General features: G+C 40.5%; 1 protein-coding gene across 6 annotated transcripts in view, besides 1 other annotated feature; it reads left to right on the plus strand.

Moving 5' to 3' along the window:
• MTA3 (metastasis associated 1 family member 3) overlaps positions 1-22,009 on the plus strand; it is a 262,837-nt gene that overhangs the window by 130,600 nt on the left and 110,228 nt on the right. For all 6 annotated transcript variants that reach the window (NM_001282755.2, NM_001282756.2, NM_001330442.2 and 3 more), the window contains 2 exons: positions 15,464-15,527; positions 19,418-19,535. In NM_001282755.2, the coding sequence (NP_001269684.1) occupies positions 15,464-15,527; positions 19,418-19,535 (182 nt within the window). The remainder of the gene's footprint in view (positions 1-15,463; positions 15,528-19,417; positions 19,536-22,009) is intronic.
• Positions 18,497-18,697: a silencer, noted in NCBI's record as "peak3682 fragment used in MPRA reporter construct". NCBI's record gives its function as "represses an SCP1 promoter by STARR-seq MPRAs in K562 erythroleukemia cells {active_cell/tissue: K562}" and the evidence as "EXISTENCE:reporter gene assay evidence [ECO:0000049][PMID:32103011]".

Raw genomic sequence — 22,009 nt, forward strand, 5'->3', positions numbered from 1 at the left:
ACTTCCTATACTATTCTGGTATGAAATTCATAATTTAATAGTAGACACTTGATACATGATCTTTCTTTGCATTGAATTTTGGGTTGAAAATGATTTTTCCTCAAAACTTTGAAGATGTTTACCCCATTGTCATCAGACATCCATTGTCATTGAACATGAGTTTTATACCACATCGGTTCTCCATTCTTCGCATGTTATCTATTTCCTCTCTGAAATCTTTTTAGAATTTTCTTATTTGTTGCATACTAAAATTTTACAGTGATGCATCAATGGTAAGGATATTTGATACACCATTGTAATTTGAAGATCTGTTTTCCTTTATTTACTTTTTTATTTTTTTGAGATGGAGTCTTGCTTTGTCACCCAGGCTGGAGTGCAGTGGCGCCATCTCGGCTCACTGCAACCTTTGCTTCCTAGATTCAAGCGATTCTCCTGCCTCAGCCTCCTGAGTAGGTGGGATTACAGGCGCCCGCCACCATGCCTGTCTAATTTTTGTATTTTTAGTAGAGATGGGGTTTCACCATGTTGGCCAGGCTGGTCTTGAACTCCTGACCTCAGGTGATCCACCCACCTCGGCTTCTCAAAGTGTTGGGATTACAGGCGTGAGCCACCGTGCCTGGCCGTTTTCTCATATTTTCCATTTTTCTTTTTTTCCCTTTTTTGGAGGTGGAGGTCCCTGAGCTAAATCTTTGATTTTTCTAGCACGTCTAGTGATATTTTAATTTTGCCAATCATGTTTTAAAATTTGTTTTATGGGCCGGGCACAGTGGCTTATGCCTTTAATCCCAGCACTTTGGGAGGCCGAGGTGGGCGGATCATGAGGTCAGGAGATTGAGACCATCCTGGCTAACACGGTGAAACCCCGTCTCTACTAAAAATACAAAAAAATTAGCTGGGCGTGGTGGCAGGCGCCTGTAGTCCCAGCTACTAAGGAGGCTGAGGTAGGAGAATGTCGTGAACCCGGGAGGCGGAGGTTGCAGTGAACCGAGATCACGCCACTGCACTCTAGCCTGGGTAACAGAGCGAGACTCCATCTCAAAAAAAAAAAAAAAAAAAAATTTGTTTTCTGAACACAGTATCCTCACCAGTCATTTTAATAAATCTATTATCTGCATGCACAGTTCTGTGTTGTTGCCTAAATTGTTTCTTCAAGTTCAGTTGTTGATTTTTTATATTTATCTTTTATGCTGTAGTCTGTTCTCAAGTATTAGATGATTCAGTTATCCTTTTTTTTTTCTTTTTTTTTTTTTTGAGTCGGAGTCCTGCTTTGTCGCCCAGGCTGGAGTGCAGTGGCGCAATCTCGGCTCACTGCAAGCTCTACCTCCCGGCTTCATGCCATTCTCCTGCCTCAGCCTCCCGAGTAGCTGGGACTACAGGCGCCTGCCACCACTCTCAGCTAATTTTTTTGTATTTTTAGTAGAGATGGGGTTTCACAGTGTTAGCCAGGATGGTCTCGATCTCCTGACCTCGTGATCTGCCCGCCTCGGCCTCCCAAAGTGCTGGGATTACAGGCGTGAACCACCGTGCCCGGCCATAGTTTTCTATTCTTATTCAAAACCAAGGTAGTAAGGCTGAACAGGAGCTCCATTTTTTTAAAATTTTTTTTGATTCGGAGTCTCACTCTGTCACCCAGGCTGGAGTGCAGTGGTGTAATCTCGGCTCACTGCAACCTCTGCTTCTTGGGCTCAAGCGATTCTCCTGCCTCCGCCTCCAGGGTAGCTGGCATTAAAGGCACCCACCACCATGCCCAGCTAATTTTTGCATTTTTAGTAGAGATGGGGTTTCACCATGTTGGCCAGGCTGGTCTCGAACTCCTGACCTCGTGATCCGCCTGCCTCGGCCCCCCAAAGTGCTGGGATTACAGGCGTGGGCCACCGCACCTGGCCTAGGAGCTTCAGTTTTATGGGCTGACTTTGTCTTCAGGCAGTTGTGAAGTTGACTTTTCTAAGTCTTACCCTCTTAGACTAGAAAATTCTTCAGGACTATCCTGGATAGGTCAGTTCCATTTTTCCTAGTATTAGCTCCTTTTTTTTAAATTTAATTTTTTTTTAGACAGAGTCTTGCTTTGTCGCCCAGGATGTAGTATAATGGTGCCACCTCAGCTCACTGTAACCTCTGTCTCCCAGGTTCAAGCAATTCTTGTGCCTCAGCCTCCCAAGTAGTTGGGATTACAGGCCTACCCCACCACACCCAGCTAATTTTTGTATTTGTAGTAGAGATTGGGTTTCACCATGTTGGCCAGGCTGGCTTCAAACTCCTGACCTCAGGTGATCTGCCTGTCTTGGCCTCCCAAAGTGCTGGGATTACAGGCATGAGCCACTGCACCCAGCCATCTCCCTTTATACATATTTTGGGCTTTGTTTCTTTTTTCTTTTTTTTTCCTTTAGCACAGGATTTCTCTCTGTTTTCTAGGCTGGAGTGCAGTGGCACGATTCGTGGCTCATTGCAGCCTTGAACTCCTGGGCTCAAGCGATCCTCTCACCTCAGCCTCCTGAGTAGCTGGGACTGCAGGTGCTGGCCACCATGCCCAGCTAACTTAAACTTTTTTTTGTAGCGACTGGTCTCCCTATGTTGTCCAGGGTGGTCTCTAACTCCTGGCCTCAAGTGATCCTTCTGCCTTGGCCTTCCAAACCACTGCCAGGCCTGAGCTTTGTTTCTTAATTGTTTTTCTTGTCCTAATTATATTAGGGAAAACCAGCAATGCTATGTTTAGTAGTATTTTAGATAGTGGCCAGATGTGCTCTTCTTAGTCTTTTCTTCTTAGTCTTTCCCTTTGGTCTTCCAAAATTTTCTGAAAATCTTTATTCTTCTAATGGCCCCCTCACATTCTCTTTATTATGGTTTAGATTCTTTTTTTCTTTTTTTTAAATTTGAAACGGAGTCTCGCTCTGTCTCTCAGGTTGGAGTGCAGTGGTGTCATCTTGGCTCACTGCAACCTCCACCTCAGGAGTTCAAGTGATCCTCCTGCCTCAGCCTCCCAAGTAGCTGGGAGTATGTGCCACCAAGCCTGGCTAAATTTTTTTTTTTTTTTTTTTTTTTTGTATTTTTGGTAGAGACATAGTTTCGCCATGTTGGTCAGACTGGTCTCAAACTCCTGACCTCTAATGATCTGCCCACCTGGGCCTTCCAAAGTGCTGGGATTACAGGCATGAGCCACCATTCCCTGCCAGGTTCTTTTGTTTTGTTTTGTTTTGAGACAGAGCCTCACTCTGTTGCCCAGGCTGGAGTGCAGCGGCGCCATCTTGGCTTACTGCAATCTCCGACTCCCGGGTTCAAGTGATTCTCCCGCCTCAGCCTCCTAAGTAGGTGGGATTACAGGTGAGCACCACCACGCCCAGCTAATTTTTGTATTTTTGGTTAGACCAGGTTTCACCATGTTGGCCAGGCTGGTCTTGAACGCCTGACTTTGTGATCCACCCGCCTTGGCCTTCCAAAGTGTTGGGATTACATGCTTGAGCCACCGTGCCCGGCGGTTCTTTTAATTTTCTTCTTATCGTTTTATTTATTTATTTATTTATTTATTTATTTATTTATTTTTGAGATGGAGTTTTGCTCTTGTCACCCAGACTGGAGTGCAATGGCGTGATCTTGGCTCACTGCAACCTCCACCTCCTGGGTTCAAGTGATTCTCTTGCCTCAGCCTCCCGAGTAGCTGGGATTACAGGCGCCCACCAGCATGCTTGACTAAATTTTTTGGTATTTTTAGTAGAGATGGGGTTTTGCCATGCTGGCTAGGCTGGTCTCAAACTGCTGACTTCAGGTAATACGCCTGCCTCAGCCTCCCAAAGTGGTGGGATTACAGGCGTGAGCCACCAACCCAGCCACCTTCTTATTTAAAAGGCATCTCAGAAAAGAGGAGATAAACACATTGGCTTTGCCTGTCATTTAATTCATTATTCTGTTGAGACTGAAAATATTATTCCATTCTCCTCCCTGCATTGAGATGCTGTAAAACTTCTTTCAGTTAGCTCACTGAATAAAAATACCATACAATTCTGGGATTTATCTCTTCTTGTCTCTTTTTAAAACTGAGTTATTGAGTATTGACAAAACATTTCCACCCTTTTTTTTTTTTTTTTTGGTTTATGTTTTACCTAGAGCAATTAGTGTTTGAAGGGAAATTTTTCCTCGGGTTGTCCTATGTGTCAGAAACAAATAAATGAACTAAAAATATTTTATGTGTAAGCAGAATTTTCTTTTTAAACAAAAAATATTTCAAATACTGGGCAAAGAAATAGTCGGTAGATGGGAGTAGATTGGAATAGATTGCCAGAGTGAATTTATATATTGCTGTGTTTAGGGATGGTATATCCAGTTTGGTTAAATGCTCAGTGCAACCTGGGATCCAAAAGCAGTGGATGATAGAGCAATATATATATATATTTTTTGAGACGGAGTCTTGCTCTGTGGCCCACGCTGGAGTGCAGTAATGTGATCTCAGCTCCCTGCAATCTCTGTCTCCCAGGTTCAAGCAATTCTCCTGCCACAGCCTCCTGAGTAGCTGGGATTACAGGTGCACGCCACTATGCCCGGGTACTTTTTTGTATCTTTAGTAGAGACAGGGTTTCACCGTGTTGGCCAGGCTGATCTCGAACTCCTGACCTTGTGATTCACCTGCCTCGGCCTCCCAAAGTGCTGGGATTACAGGCGTGATCCACCGTGCCCAGCGGATAGAGCAGTCTTTTTTTGTTTTCAGGACCACAGAAAACTTATGACATGCCCTCTTGCTTTTAAAATTTAAATTTTTTTTGGTAGTGTAATTGTGATAGGTTAGCTGCCCACTGAGCACAGCCAGTCAGTACTCTGAGACACCAGGTTGCAGCAAAGAAGGAGGTTTAATTGTAAGGTCCTTGAACAAGGAGGTGGGAGGAAACCTCTAATCTATCTCCTCAGGGAATTTGCAGTTGGGGTTTTTAAGGCTTTTGGAGTGAGCCGAAGTTTGGAGATCTTTGATTGCTCCAAGAGTTGTACGGTGAAGTCATGAAGTGAGGGATAAAGAAGCTGAATTCTTCTGATCTCGTTCCTCTGTGGGGGCCTTTAAACTGGTTGCTGGAATTCATGGGGCCTGAAAAACAATTTTTTTTTTTGAGGTGTAGTCTTGCTCTGTCTCCCAGGCTGGAGTTCAGTGGCATGATCTCGGCTCTCTGCAACCTCTGCCTCCCAGGTTCAAGCAATTCTTGTGCCTCAGCCTCCTGAGTAGCTGGGATTACAGCGGCCTGTCACCACACCCGGCTAACTTTTTTTGTATTTTTAGTAGACATGGGGTTTCACCATGTTGGCCAGGGTGGTCTCCTGACCTCAAGTGATCTGCTTGCCTTGGCCTCCCCAAGTGCTAGGATTACAGGCATGAGCTAACACACCCGGCAAAAAACAATTTAAGCGATCCTTAAATAAAAGCCTTATGATTCTAATGTCAGAGATCCTGTCTATGGGAACAGTGGGCTCCCCATACACTTGATCTCTGATACTAGAATCAAGGCTTTCGTCAGTATCTTGTGCTACATTACTTTCAATAGCAGAGAAGTGAGCCAAAGTGCAGCCTGATTAATACTTAATTGTAACTACATTTCTGGCCATAACCTGCATGCAATTCTTGTCAACCTTGTGGGGACAGTTTCAGTGGAGGGGGATTTGTAATATATGATTCAGAAATCAAAATATACAAACATGAAGTATACAATAAAATGTCTGTCTCCTGCACAGTCCCCCCAGGTCTTCAGTGTTTTAGTCTTAGGTGTACTTCCAGAAATATTCCATGCGTATAGAAGCAATGAGGTATGTATGTTTGTATGTCTAAGTAAATTGTGGAGTAAATTATGATGCTTTTATGTTGTGCTTTTGAAATGAAGTATCTTGGTGATAGGTCCATATTGGATCATAAAGATCTGCCTCATTCTTTTTTATGGCTGTGTTGTATATCTAATTTGTTTAATCCTAACTAATGGATTTTTGGTTTTTTTAGTCTTTTGCTGTTAAAAATAATACTATAATGAATAAACTTGTGCCTAGGACATTTTAGTTGTGTGATTGTGAGTGTAGCTGCAAAATTATACCAAGTAAAATAGTTGAAAGTATCTTAATTTTTATTTTGTATTTATTTCTTCATATTTCTCCATTGGTCAAAGCAGGGAGGTTCAGCTGAAAGGATTTGTAAATTTAATTTATGTCTATTGAGACCTTTTTTGCTACTTTCAGAGAAAAACAAGTTTTTATGGATATGTTTATTGAAAAATAAATAGTAGTGCTAACTTTATATAAGTAATAAAATAGAACTCCACTGTGGATTATTAGTCTCTCTTCAGTTTGGCTGTGAATGTTAAAAACTTACTTGGAATCTTTAAAATAATTGGTTTTCTTCCTGCTCATTTAATTATGACAGTATGTTAAAGTGTTAGGCTTTTGTAATTTTTTTGGTAATCTATACATAAAATTTGAATTAGCCAAAAGGGTACTGTTGATACCTATAAGTAGTGCTCCTTAATAAATGAAGTTAACATGAGAAAGTTAGTTAGTATGCTTAGCCTCTTAAGATTGCTAGTAGGAGGAAAACTAGAGGAAAAATACAGTAAGTGGAGAAAAATCCTGTCACAGCTTAACATTTTATAGTGTACATGTTTAGCATGCTCTTTTTGGAAGATGTGTGTTTATACTATATAACCTTTCCTTTGAATTAACTGCTTAACCCCTTTAAGGGCTGAAGTAGTTTTCTTCAACCAGAATCACAGTGCACAAGAGCATTTGGGTTAGATGCAAAGTATGTCCTATGTATTGTCTCAAGTACTTGTGTGTGTGTTTTTTTTTGATTTTCAATTTTTGTGGCTACATAGGTGTATATATTCATGTGGTACAAGATATATTTTGACAGAGGCATGTGATGCATAGTAATCACATCATGAAATATGGGCTATCTGTCCCCTCAAGCATTCATACTTTGTGTTACAAACAATCCAGTTATACTCTTTTAGTTATTTTGTATTATTATTTTATTATTATTTTTTGAGACGGAGTCTCCCTTAGTGACCCAGGCTGGAGTGCAGTGATCCAGTCTTGGCTCATTGCAACCTCCACCTCCTGAGTTCAAGTGATTCTCCTGCCTCAGCCTCCCAAGTAGCTGGGCTTACAGGTGCTCACCACCATGCCTGCCTAGTTTTTTTATTTGTCATAGCGATGGGGTAGCACCATGTTGGCCAGGCTGGTCTTGAGCTCCTGACCTCAGGTGACCCACCCACCTTGGCCTCCCAAAGTGCTGGGATTACAGGCATGAGCCACCAGGCCTGGCCTCTTTTAGTTATTTAAAAATGTACAATTAAGTTATTATTGACTGTATTCACCCTATGATACCATCAAATATCAGGTCTTACTCATTCTTCCCAGCTGCTGGGTTTTTTTTTTTTTTTTTGAGATGGAGTCTTGCTCATCGCCCAGGCTGGAGTGCAGTGGTATAGTCTCGGCTCACTGCAAGCTCTGCCTCCCAGGTTCACGCCATTCTCCTGCCTCAGCCTCCCAAGTAGCTGGGTTCTACAGGCGGCCGCCACCATGCCCGGCTAATTTTTTGTATTTTTAGTAGAGACAGGGTTTCACCGTGTTAGCCAGGATGGTCTTGATCTCCTGACCTCATGATCCGCCCACCTCGGCCTCCCAAAGTGCTGGGATTACAGGCTTGAGCCACCGCGCCCAGCCCCCAGCTGCTGTTTTGTACTTATTAACCATCCCCACAAGTACTGTACTCCATATGTTGTGGAACCTCTGAGAGATTTTCCTGGTGGTCAGAGTGATTCATTTGCCATCTTGTCCAGGAGAGGAGGATCTTTCCAATAGGTATTGACTTTTTGGAACATTTCACTTTCTCCTGTAAGAGGGAAGAGTGGTATCAAGAGAAGGATATTTTTCCTACTTGATTCCTCCTTGACAGTTTCTTTCATATTTGTTATCAAATATTCAGAATTATGGTGTCTTTGCTATGCTCCACATCCCATGGATGGAATGGGCATCTCAAAACATAATTTGTCAGTCATTTTTCTTCAGAAATAGATTAATCGATTTTATTAAGCCCAAACTTCTCTTTTTGGCTTTTCATTCCTCTACTTTGTGTACACACAAACAGATGTTTCAGGGTGGTGTGTGTGTGGCTTCTTTTAAGTTTTATTTGTGAGCATCTGTTAAAGCAGTATTAGTAACAGATCTTCTATTCAAAGATCTATCTTTGAATAGAAATATTTAAAGATTTCCAGATTTAATTCTCTTTGTACTCCTTTTTAAAAAAAAAAAAATACAGTCGGGCATGGTGGCTTACACCTGTAATCCCAGCACTTTGGGAGGCTGAGGTGGGCGGATCATGAGGTCAAGAGCTCGAGACCATCCTGGCCAACATGGTGAAATCCTGTCTCTAGTAAAAATACAAAAATTAGCTGGGTATGGGGGTGCATGCCTGTAGTCCTAGCTACTCGGGAGGCTGAGGCAGGAGAATCGTTTGAACCTGGAAGGCAGAGGTTGCAGTGAGCCGAGGTTGCAGTGAGCCGAGATCGCACCACTGTATTCCAGCATGGTGACCGAGTGAAAGTCTGTCTCAAAAAAAAAAAAGCAGAGGTCCAGGGTCGGGTTTGATGGCTCATGCCTGTAATCCCAGCAATTGGGGGGCCAAGGAGGATCGCTTGATCCTAGGAGTTTTAGACCAGTCTGGGCAACATGGTGAAACCCTGTCTCTACAAAGAATACAAAAGTTAGCGGGGCCTGGTGGTTCATGCCTGTGGTCCCAATTACTCAGGAAACTGAGGTGGGAGGATCACTTGAGCCTAGGAGGTGGAGGCTGCAGTGAGCTGAGATCACGCCACTGCACTCTGACCTGGGTGACAGAGCGAGATCCTGTCTCAAAAAAGAAGTCCATTAAAAATCATATTCTTGGCTGGGCGCGGTGGCTCATGCCTGTAATCCCAGCACTTTGGGAGGCCGAGGCGGGCGGATCACAAGGTCAGGAGATCGAGACCATCCTGGCTAACACAGTGAAACCCCGTCTCTACTAAAAATACAAAAAAAAGTTAGCCGGCCGTGGTGGCGGGCGCCTGTAGTCCCAGCTGGAGGCTGAGGCAGGAGAATGGCGTGTACCCGGGAGGCGGAGCTTGCAGTGAGCCGAGACCGCGCCACTGCACTCCAACCTGGGCGACAGAGCGAGACTCTGTCTCAAAAAAAAAAAAAACATATTCTTTCACTTAATATATGCAATCTTAAATGTTTGTTACCAAGATATAATTAAGAAAACCATAGTTTTCTTAATGTAGAACAGTGATTCTCAACCGGGAGTGATATTGTATCCCAGGGACCTTTGACAATTTGGACAGTTTGGCTCTAACAAATGGATGAGGGGGTGCTACTGTCATCCACTGCAGAGAGGCCAGGGATGCTGCTCAACATCCTGTAGTGCATGAGACAGCCTCCACAACAAAAAATTATCTGGCCCAAAATGTCCACCAGTGGTGCCGAGGTTGAGAAAACCTGATATATAGAGTCATTGTACATAATCCTTGCTCCCTTGGTGTGGTAGTCATGGAAATTTATGTATTTTAATTAGGTATTTTAATTAGGATTTCTCTTTATTAGTCTATTCTCACACTGCTATAGAACTACCCGAGACTGGGTAATTTGTAAGGAAAAGACTTTTAATTGATTCACAGTTCTGCATGGCTGGGGAAGACTCAGGCAACTTACAATCATGGTGGAAGGGGAAGCAGGCATGTCTTACTTGGCAGCAGGCGAGAGAAGGAGAAGGAGGAACTGTCAAACATGTATAAAACCGTCAGATCATGTGAGAACTCACTATCATGAAACTGCCCCCGTGATCCAATCACCACCCACTAGGTCCCTCCCTCGACACGTGAGGATTATGGGGATCACAATTCAAGATGAGATTTGGGTGGGGACACAGAGCCAAACCATATCACCCCCTTTCATTTTAAATTTAAATTTTGTTATTTTTTTAAAAGTGTATGGATATGGCTGTCTAATAATATCCAAGGCAGTCATTTGCTTGGTTCCAACTCTGTAGTCATTTTCAACTCCTCTCGATGGTGGCTTCTGGCATTTATACTGTTCTTATATTCCTACTATTAATTTTTCAGTTTTAGGAATTTACCTTTACTTCTCTCTTCCCTATTCCCTTTGCCATCTGTTTCTAATATTATCACAACTTTTATTTAACTTAGTAAACAGTCTTTGTGTTTTATGAACATGTCAGTATTATGTATTCTTTCTTGTATAAACTTTTGTTTTCCATGGAGTTTATCATTGTTTTACCTTTGCCTTTTGATTAAGTCTTCTAAAAATGTAAAAGTTTTTATTCTCATATATCTAAAAATATTTCTCACACTTGGCCAATGATTTGTTTAGACATAGAATTTTGGTTTGGAAATCACTTCTCTCAGAATTTTGAATCTGTGCTATTCTGTTTTATGCGGTTGCTGTTGAGAAATCTAGTCTTCTGAAAGCATTTTGCATCTCTGATCTTTATTTTTTTATTTGATTGTTCATTGTGTTCATTGTGTTAAATGCTGTCAAAACTGTCTACTCACTGATTTACCAATCCCAGAACCTAATATTTTGACACTGTTCTTTATACAAAGAAATATTAAGAATCTGTAACTTGGGCCGGGCAAAGTGGCTCATGTCTGTAATCCCAGCATTTTGGGAGGCCGAGGCGGGTGGATCACCTGAAATTAGGAGTTCGAGACCAGCCTGACCAACATGGTGAAACCCCGTCTTTACTAAAAATACAAAAATGAGCTGGGTGTGATGGTGGGCATCTGTAATCCCAGCTAGTTGAGAGGCTGAGTCAGCAGAATCACTTGAACCCAGGAGATGGAGGCTGCAGTAAGGATAAGATCACACCACTTGCACTCCAGCCTGGGCAACAGAGCGAGACTCTATCTCAAAAAAAAAAGAATCTAGAGTTTGTGGCAAATGTAAGACTTGTAAAGTCAATAAAAAAATGTCTTTCTTTAATGAAGCAATAATACTGTTTGTTGAACAAGGCAAGTTTAATGTCAAACTCTGCATCTATAGGAATTTTTCTGTTTTTTTTTCCCAAGACAGAATTTCACTCTGTCACCCAGGCTCGAGTGCAGTGGCATGATCTTGGCTCACTGCACCTCCTTCTCCCAGGTTCAAGCAGTTCTTGTGCCACAGCCTCCGCAGTAGCTGGGATTACAGGCGTGCACCACCACACCCAGCTAATTTTTTATATTTTAGTAGAGATGGAGTTTCACCATGTTGCCCAGGCTGGTCTTGAACTATACCTGAGCTCAGGCAATCTGCCCGCCTCAGCCTTATAGAATGCTAGGATTACAGGCGTGAGCCACGGCGCCGGGCCAGGAATGGTTTTTTAAGTTTAGTGAACTTAAAAAAGTTCACTAAACTTGGTGATGTTTGTTAATCATGTAGATTCCTGGACCCATCCCAAGACATTGAAATTCAGTAAGTCTGGTACAGCACTAAGATATCTGCACTTTTCTAAGTGGGTAGTCCCCGCTTCAAGTTGTATCAAGGTAAAAGAAAGTTTGGGCCAAGTGTGGTGGCTCATGTCTATAATCCCAGCCTTTGGGAGGCCAAGGTGGGAGGATCGCTTGAGCCAGGGAGTTTGAGAGCAGCCTGGGAAACATAGCAAAACTCTATCTCTACAAAGAATTTAAAAAAAATTAGCTCTGCGTGTGGCACACACCTGTAGTCCCAGCTACTGGGGAGGCTGAGGTGGGAGGATTGATTGAGTCCAGGAGGTTGAGGCTGCAGTGAACTGTGATTATGCCGCTGCACTCCAGCCTGGGTGACAGAGCTAGACCCTTTCTCAAAACAAAACAAAACAAAACAAAAGAAGAAAGTCTACAGGCAGGGGGTAAATGATCACTAATTTAAACTTCTTTCTCTTTCTTTCTTTTTTTTTTTTTTTTTTTGAGACGGGGTTTCGCCCTGTCACCAGGCTGGAGTGCAGTGGTGCGATCTCGGCTCACTGCAACCTCCGGCTCCCAGGTTCAAGCCATTCTCCTGCCTCAGCCTCCAGAGTAGCTGGGACTACAGGCGTGTGCTACCACTCCCAGCTAATTTTTGTGTTTTTAGTAGAGACAGGGCTTCACCGTATTGGCCAGGCTGGTCTCGAACTCCTGACCTCGTGACCCGCCCGCATCGGCCTCCCAAAGTGCTGGGATCATAGGCATGAGCCACTGCGCCTGGCCCTCCTCTTTCATTTATACAAATATGTACTAGCTTTAGATAAAAGAAATATATAACCTGTATGCACATTTTTACGTTTTTCAGTCTGTAGGATTATATGGGACATACCATTAAGCAAGTAGCAGATTCCAGGCTGATCAGCGCCTGCTGTTGAACGTGTGACTTTGTTTTGTCGTAATTATTTATTCACATGTCTTTGTGTCCCAGCACCCTGCGCAGTCTCTGAAACAGATTATACTTTGAAAACCTTTTCAGTGACCTGTGGGAAAGTAGGTTTTCTTTATAGCAATTCTGTACTCCTTTGTGGTTCTGTGTAGAAAAGTAGTACGAGTGATTATATGGGCCTGGAGTGATCTTTGTGTTGTGGTCTTTGATACACTTCATATCATGCTTGGGCATCTTTATTATTTAAGGATTAAAATATCGTACATGACACATGATTAGGTTCATTGCTTGAGACTCAGTATAAATTGCCTATGGTATCTGTATACGGAATTTGATAATAGTTCCTTTAGGTTGGGGTTAGCTTAAAATTTACCATGTTTTTATCTATGAGCCAAGATTTGTTTGGCATAAAGGAAACTAACGCTTTAAATCTCTTTTTAAACCACTTTTATCAACAACTCTTGGCATGGTAATATATGTGTTAATTACATATTCATATTTACTTCATAAAATAATTCTGACTCAACCTCTTAGCTGTTAATGTATGTACATGAAAATTGTAAATGTTAGATTTTCATTTTTAATTTGGGGAGATGTACAATATAGCTATATTAAAGAAAAATTTAAAACTTAGATCACTTATTATCCTTTCATCTTTGTATAAAAACTGCATTTCCAAAAACAATTTGTACTTCATTATAACCTGTGTTTCCTTATTTCCTAATATAATTATGAAAATAAAGGTTTTATAATTTAAAATCTTTTATTTCAGACCATATGGAAGAGACTTTTAAAGTATGCTATATTGTTTGTTTGAATTTTCAGTGTCCGTTAACCCTTAAAAGTCAAGGGACTATTAAAGACAGTGGTATTGGCTGGGCATAGTGCAGTAGTGTTTATAACCAGTTACAGATTTCTTTTTTTCTTCTCCACTATCACTGTTTCAGTTGACTAGCCTTAAAAAAAAGTACCTATTAAAATAAAATTTAGCAGGTTTTACTCCTCCCCATTAAAACAAGCAAATCTGACTTTAGAGAACTTATTTTTTTAAAAAGGGGGATTTTTTTTTCTAGGTGATTGAGTATCAAATGTTAGAAATATTGCTTTGTCAGCTGTTAATGAGGGGAAAAAGTAAGTGAAAACTATTTTTAGAAACCTCATTTATTAAGCATATTGCATGTGTGAGCACATATTCACAGGTCATAGATATTCTGTGGCAGCTGTCGATGTGCTAACGGCAGCAGAGCAATTTCCCTAGTTGCAATTCTGTCCGTTATGAGAACATGTCAGATAATTGTTACCTTTTCTTTTTTTTTTTTGAGACAGGGTCTTGCTCTTTTGCCCAGGCTGGAGTTCAGTGGTGCAAATACAGCTCAGTGCACCCTAGACCTCCTGGGCTCAAGCAGTCCCCCAACCGCGAGTAGCTGGGACTATGCCCTGCTTATTTTATTTTTTTTAATTTTCAGTAGAGTTGAGATCTTGCTGTGTAGCCTGGTCTCAAACTCCTGGGCTCAAGCGATTCTTCTACCTCGGCCTCCCAAAGTGCTGAGATTACAGGTGTGAGCTGGGCACAATTGTTGTCTTTTCAGTGTTGTTATGTGTGCTAAAGTGATGTTAATTTTTTTTTTTTTTTGCTTCACTAATCTACTTGAATAAAATATGTTAGAAAAAAAGAAAACCTTTATAAACACTTCCAGTAACCACGTTAGAGATTTGACAGGATAGTGTGGAAATACCACATGCTCTCAAAGAAAGCTTTCTAACCTACAGTGATCACCAGAAAAAGACATTTTTATAAGGGGTTTTTTTTTTTTTTAATTTAAAGAGTATATAGTTGCAAAATGTTTAGCAAGCTGTTTTGACCAATGTGTTAGCACTTTTAGTATTTTATTTTGCTCTTGGTAATTTTTTTCTTTGAATTGTATTTCACTCTGGTGATCCAACAGCAAGCTTTTCTAGCTTGCTTTCTTTCTTTCTTTTTTTTTTTTTTTGAGGCGGAGTCTTGCTCTGTCGCCCGGGCTGGAGTGCAGTGGCACGATCTCGGCTCACTGCAACCTCTGCCTCTGGGGTTCAAGCGATTCTCCTGCCTCAGCCCCCTGAGTAGCTGGGATTACAGGCATGTGCTACCATACCCCACGAATTTCTAGCTTCTTATTTAATATATATGTGATATATTTGTTTTTGCATGTTGGCTTTTGGAGATGTCTTAATTTTTGTTTAGAAAATCAAATGATCTTACGACATTTTAAAGAAACATTGTGTGAGCCCTGACCAGTATTTGTAACTTGAATAATCTTCAAAATGCTCCTGTCAGATTTCTATTAGTTATACGGATTTTTTTAGGCTAGTTAGGGTCATTTTGAAAGTGCTCGTAATAAATGCCTCTACCTACATAACCTCAGTTTTTCTCAGAGTCTAGACAAGCCTTATAAAAACAGACGTTAGTTTCCAAGCTCAGATCAAATGTAAGTGCTGTCAGACCTCAAGGTCCGTGGATCTGTCGATGTTTATTTTGCCCCTTGCTCTATAGAAGGCTCCTTGTGTTTAAATTTTAACTAGTTTTTAGAGTAATTTCAATATAGATGAATTAGTTATATCCTGATATGAATGTGTATTATTTTTAGGTTCTTAAATGTAGTTAGTGGCTGCTCATAAAAATCTGAATATTATTTAGCCATTGGTTTGTGTGGTGGTGTCTTTGTCTGAACATCCCTTTTATAAAATTACCTCATAATATCTATTTATAGGTTCAGAAACTGACTCTTAGTCTGAAGTTCTCATTGTACTCTTTTTTTTTCTTGAATAAGTAGAAACTACCTATAAAGTATTGCATATTAGGATTTATTGCCTAACACAATTACTCCAACAGGCTAGCCTCTCAAGAAATGCCTATAAAGACAGCCTTATTTTATAAGTTACCTGACATTAGGATTGTAAAGTGGGTCTAAATGGTTTGAAAAAATATATATTCCTAACTGCCATGTAGTTTCTTAATACCAGTCTCACATTCTTAACTTTGTATTTCTCATCACTGAGAAGGTGAGGTGGCCTTTGTTACATTTATTCTTTTTTTCTTTTTCAACAGGGGAAAGTGCAGTGTTGCCCTTCTGAATGAGACAGAATCAGTATTGTCATATCTTGATAAGGAGGTAATTCACAATCATAGTTGTTTTGTTTTTTTCTCCCTTTATTTCACATGAAGCTCTTTCCTTGGAATTTATTTCTTTTTGTACAAAAGTATTATTCCACCATTATATTAATAGCAGTATTATAGTAAAAGTATAGTGACTAGAATGCATTCGGGTAAATTTGATTTTTCTGGTTATCTGAGATAAGAGCAAAAACTGTGTCTGTTTTTCAGTTGGTAATGAATGGCATTATAGAGAATGGTACATGGATTTAGTTGATAGTAGATGAATATTTTTGACTTTATGAAATTAATGCTTTAGTGTGCTTGGCTCCCCTTTCTGTTTTGTTTTTGTTTTTATTTCTTGAATAAATGGTTTTTCTTTTAGACTGTTTCCAGATGAGATTTTACCTTTGGTGGTCTGCTTTCTGGAATCCTAATAAATTTTGTCAGTTAAAAATATTTTTCACTAAACCTCAACAAGAAATGTAGTTAACAAGTTGAGATAGAGCATACGCTTCATGGAAAGGAGGAAATTTTTATAAGCAGAATATTCCATGGTATGCATAGTTTTAGGTGACATTTAAAGCAACATCATTTGTATGGTGGGAAACATATTTTAGTATCAGTGATGCTTCAGTATTTAATCTTTATGATTTTTTTCTTCTCCCCCAAAAGCTTTATTACATATACGTATGTTTTAGTTTTTGGAGACAAAGTCTTGCTCTGTCCCCCATTCTGGAACGCAGTGACGTGATCTTGACCCACTGCAACCTCCGCCTCCCGGGTTCAAGCAATTCTCATGCTTCAGCCTCCTGAGTAGCTGGGATCATAGGTGCCTGCCACCATACCCGGCTAATTTTTGTGTTTTTGGTAGAGATGGGGTTTTGCCATGTTTGCTAGGCTGGTCTTCAACTCCTGGCCTCAGGTGATCTGCCTTCCTCAGCCTCCCAAAGTGCTGGGATCAGAGGCATGAGCCACTGTGCCTGGCCGGTTTTTTTTTTTTTTTTTTTTAAATCTTATACTCAAGTGTTGCCCATTTATCTCAAATGAAGAAAATATAACAGAAAAAGTTTGATACAATCATGCAGAACCCACTATACATTAGAAAACCTAATAGGAAATAAGAAAACCAACAGGAAAAGTCATATTCAAAGCAGAAAAAAGGCTAATAGACTTTATAACTTACCTTTGTAAAATTTAGATAGGCTTTTGTCATTAGTCTGTCCCACAGAATGATGGATTATAATATGGATAATGATAATGCCCAGAAATTAGCATTATTTCACGGAAGCAGAAAGAAAAAGGCAAAACATTCCATGCATTTCATTGTATTAAATTTTTTTTTTTCGGCCGAACGTGGTGGCTCACACATGTGATCCCAGCGCTTTGGGAGGCCGAGGTGGGCGGATCACGAGGTCAGGAGTTCGAGACCAGCCTGACCAACGTGGTGAAAGCCTGTATCTGCTAAAAATACAAAAATTAGCTGGGCCATGCAAAAATTAACCGGGCGTGGTGGCGCATGCCTGTAATCCCAGCTACTTGGGAGGCTGAGGCAGGAGAATACCTTGGATCTGGGAGGCGGAGGTTGCAGTGAGCCGAGATCGCGCTACTATACCTCTAGTCTGGGTGACAGAGTGAGACCTTGTCTTAAAAAAAAAAAATAGACATTGGAGAGGGATGAGGATTGAAAAATTACCTATTGGGTACACTGTTCACTATTCAGGTGATGGGTACACTAAAAGCCCAGACTTTACCATGACACAATGTATGCATATAAGAACTCTGCACTTGTACCCCCTAAATATATAAAAAATTTAAAAATAAAATATTGAGATTGGCATAAAGACGGTAACCCAAAGAATAACTTTTTAATTATCATCCTTTACTTTTAACTCTGTGTTCTTGAAATTGGCCTATCTGGAACCTTTTCTTCTTCTTTTTTACAACTTCTATTATAAACCAAACATATTTTGAATATTTTCCCATATCAGGACATAGAAATCTAAGGATTTTAAGCAACTTATATGACCCAAATAATCATTTCATCTTATTATATTGTAGAGTATGGCAAGCTCCTGTTTTTATTGGAGTACCATGCTAATAGGTTTTACAGATAAAAAGTGAACTGAAGTATCTCTGCATTTAAATCTGATGGTGGCTTCATGTGGGGGCTCATGTCTGTGATCCCAGCACTTTGGGAGGTTGAGGCAGGAGGATTGCTTGAGCCCAGGAGTTTGAGACCAGCCCAGGCAACATAGTGAGACGTCGTCTCTATTAAAAAAAAAGAAAAACAAAATCTGATGTTGAGCCAGTGGCAATAACTTCAGTTACTGAGTAATATTTATTACTCATGTCTGTAAAGCAAAACAAAAAAATCAAACAATTCTGATTACATAATGATCATCCCCTGTAGCTTTGTTAAGTTGGTTTTTTTTTTTTTTTTTGAGATGAAGTCTCACTCTTGTCCCCCAGGCTGGAGTGCAATGGTGCAATCTTGGCTCACTGCAACCTCTGCCTCCTGTGTTCAAGTGATTCTCCTGCCTCAGCCTCCTGAGCAGCTGGGATTACAGGTGCCTGCCACCACACCCGGCTGATTTTTCTATTTTTAGTAGAGACGGGATTTCACCATGTTGGCGAGGCTAGTCTCGAAGTCCTGACCTCAGGTGATCCGCCTGCCTCGGCCTCCCAAAGTGCTGGGATTATAGGCATGAGCCACTGCACCTGGCCTAAGCTGGTTGTTTTATCTATTCCTGCAGATTTTTTCTTTCCTTAGATAGCACTTTAACAGTATGCATAAACTGTCACATATTGGTGTCTCCCCCCCCCCCCTTTTTTTTTTAACAGTTTTTTTGTTTAAACTTTTTTCCTGACAGTGAACAATGAATAAAATACAGCACAGAATTTCTCAGTGGTTGGAATAACTCTGTTTTTTTTCCCTTTCCCCTTATCACAGTATGTAAGAACTCCCATAGGAGAGATTTTTACTGTCTGACAGATTATCTTTTATTTGCAGTTTCCTTTGCTGGGGCTTGGTAAAGTTCTGGTAGTAGGGACAGGTCCTTCCAGGATATAATACAGAGAACTGGGCAGCCGATAACCTTTGGGATCGTAGTGGAAAGCAGAAGATGGGACTTCTGCTTCTGGTTCAGATAATCTCTAGTGGTTATACGGAATTCAGCAAAGGACTGGTGCCAGGTCATTTTGTCCATTAGGCTCAGAAACAAGGACATAGGAGCTTTGTAAGGGAGGACTGGAAATTTTGGTGTGTATGCTGTTGGTGAGCATGTATATAGCTATGTTTGTATATCTGTCTATATGTATATATATGTATGCCTCAGTACTTAACTGCAGAATTATAGTTAATACATGTTTAATTAAATATTTACAAAGTGGTATTATTATAACAGTAAACCACATGTAAGTTCAACTCATGCAGTTTAATGTGAGATATGTATACTTTTTAATCTTTTGACTAAAAGCTGGGATGGACATTACAAAAGTAAGAGTACCTGGTATCTGTGAAGTCTTCCCTTCTGTTTGGTGTGGACTTCAGAAGTTTATAAGATGATTTGACTTTAGGTGTCTTACCTTGGAGTTATGGTTTAATTTTGCTAGCTCTTGAAACTCTGCTTTAGAGAGCAAATGGTTTTCTTTTAGACTAAAACAAATAATAGAACTTTATAATCTACTTTGTTTCAAGCTGTTTCTTTTGGCTTGATTTAATTTTGTACTGTTTTACATGATGACGGTAACACCATGCTCTCCTTAAAGATTTATGAGTTTATTCACCAAAATGAAATTTTATATACTCTCTGGGGTTTATATGTTCATTGTAGCAACATTGATTTTAATGCTTTATAAGAAGTAGAAGGAATTAAGTATACCTATGTATTTTGTCATATTTTTCAGGATACCTTCTTCTACTCATTGGTCTATGACCCCTCATTGAAAACACTATTAGCTGACAAAGGTGAAATCAGAGTGGGACCTAGATATCAAGCAGACATTCCAGAAATGCTGTTAGAAGGTACGTTTTTCTGCGTGTTTGCAGTTTTGTGAAACAAATATATCTTGAAACTCAAATATACATGTCCTCATGTAGAAGAGGCAATGTTCAGGGCAAAGTCTAAAAGTTATAAGCACTTGCCATTTTACTGTTCTTTGTAAAAAATAAAAAATAAATAAATAAATAGAGATGAGGCCTCGCTATGTTGCCAAGGCTGGTCTTGATCTCCTGGCCTCAAACAATCCTCCCACCTCGGACTCCCAAAAGTGATGCTATTATAGGTGTGGCCTGGCCAGCACTTCCAATTTTAGAATTACAAAATTGCCTCATTTTAATGTACTTTGTTTTTACTGCACTTCATATATATCTAGTTTTTTAAAAATTTGAAGGTTTGTGGCAACCCTGTTGAGTAAGTCATTTGGTGCCATTTTTCCAACAGGACAGTGTCTCTGTGTCAAATTTTGGTAATTCTTGAAACATTTCAAACCTTTTCATTATTATAATATCTGTTATAGTGATCTGTGATCAGTGATCTTAGAGGTAACTATTGTAATTGTTTTTGGGGCCACGAACCGTACCCATATGAAAGGATAAACTGAATTGATAAATGCTGTGTGTTCTGAGTGCTCCACTGACTGTCCCTTCCCTGCCTCTTTCTCTCTCCTGGGGTCTCCCTATTTTATGAGACACAACAATATTGAACTTAAGCCAGTTAATAACCCTGCAGTGGCCGGTAAGTGTTCAAGTGAAAGGAAAAGTAGCATGTCTCTCACTTTAAATCATAAGCAAGAAATGAAGCTAGTGAGGAAGGCGTGTCAGAAGCCAAGATAGGCTAAAAGCCACGCCTCTTTCCCCAGTTAGCCAAGTTGTGAATGCAAAGGAAAAGTTCTTGAAGGAAATTAAAAGTGCTACTCCACACTCCAGCCTGGGTGACAGAGTGAGACTCTGTCTCAAAAAAAAAAAAAAAAAAAAAAAGCTACACCAGTGAACACACATGAATGATAAAAAAAAGCAAAACAGGCTGGGTGCAGTGGCTCATGCCTTTAATCCCAGCACTTTGAGGGGCCGCAGCAGGTGGATTACTTGAGACCAGGAGTTCGAGACCAGCCTGGCCAACATGGTGAAATGCCATCTCTACTAAAAATACAAAAACTAGCCAAGTGTGATGGTGTGTGCCTGTATTCCCAACTACTCGGGAGGCTGAGGCAAGAGAATCCTTTGAACCTCGGAGGCAGAGGTTGGAGTGAGCCAAGATTGTGCCACTGCACTCCAGCTTGGGCAACAGAGTGAGACTTTGTCTAAAAAACAAACAAACAAACAAACAAACAAACAAACAAAACAGCCTTACTGCTTTACTGCTGATACCATGGAGAAAGTCTTAGTGGCGTAGATAGAATATCAAACCACCAAGAACATTCCTTTAAACCAAAGCCTAATCCAGAGCAGGGCCCTAAGTCTCTTCAATTCTGTGAAGACTGAGAGGTGAGGAAGCTGGAGAAGAAGAATTTGAAGCCAGCAGAGGTTGGGTCATGGGGTTTAAGGAAAAAATTCTTCATCATAACATAAAAATGCAAGTAAAGCAGCAAGTGCTGATGTAGAAGCTGCAGCACGTTATCCAAAACTAGCTAAGGTCACTGATGAAGGCTGCTACTCTGAACAACAGAGTTTCAATGTAGATAAAACAGCTTTCTATTGGAAGAAGATGCCATCTAGGACTTTCATAGCTAGAAGCTTCAAAGGACAGCCTGACTCTCTGATTAGTGACTAATGTAGCTGGTGACTTGAAGCCAATCCTCGTTTACCATTCCAAAAATCCCAGACCTCTTAAGAATTACACTAAATCTGCTCTGCCTGTGTCCTGTAAATAGAACAACAAAGCCTAAATGACAGCACCTCTATTTACAGTATGGTTTACTGAATATTTTAAGCTCACTGTTGAGACCTACTGCTTAGGAAAAAGGATTCCTTTAAAAATTCTTTTCAAAAACTGCTCATTGATAATGCTCCCCTTCACCCAAGAGCTCTGATGGGGATGTACAAGGAGGTGAATGTTGTTTGCATGACTGCTGAGACAACATCCATTCTGGAGTCTATGGATCAAGGAGAAATTTTGACTTTCACATTTTATTATTAAGAAATAACATCACCTAAGGCTATACTTGCCATAGATAATGATTCCTCTGATGGATCTGAGTAGTCAATCGAAAACCTTCTGGAAAGAATTCTCCGTTCTAGATGCCAGTAACAACAACTGTAATTGATAGGAGGAGGTCAAAATATTAACATTAAGAGGAGTTTAGAAGAAGTTGATTCCAACACTCGTGGATAACTTTGAAGGGTTTACGACTTCAGTGGTGGAAGTAACTGTAGTTATGGTGGATATAATATGCAAGAAAACTACAGTGAGCGTGGGCCCTGAGGATGTGACTGACTGAATTGCTGCAATCTTGTGGTAAAACTTGGATGAGTGAGTAGTCGATTCTTATGGATGAGCA

The sequence above is a fragment of the Homo sapiens genome, chromosome 2, assembly GCF_000001405.40.
Source record: "Homo sapiens chromosome 2, GRCh38.p14 Primary Assembly".
Taxonomy (NCBI): domain Eukaryota; kingdom Metazoa; phylum Chordata; class Mammalia; order Primates; family Hominidae; genus Homo; species Homo sapiens.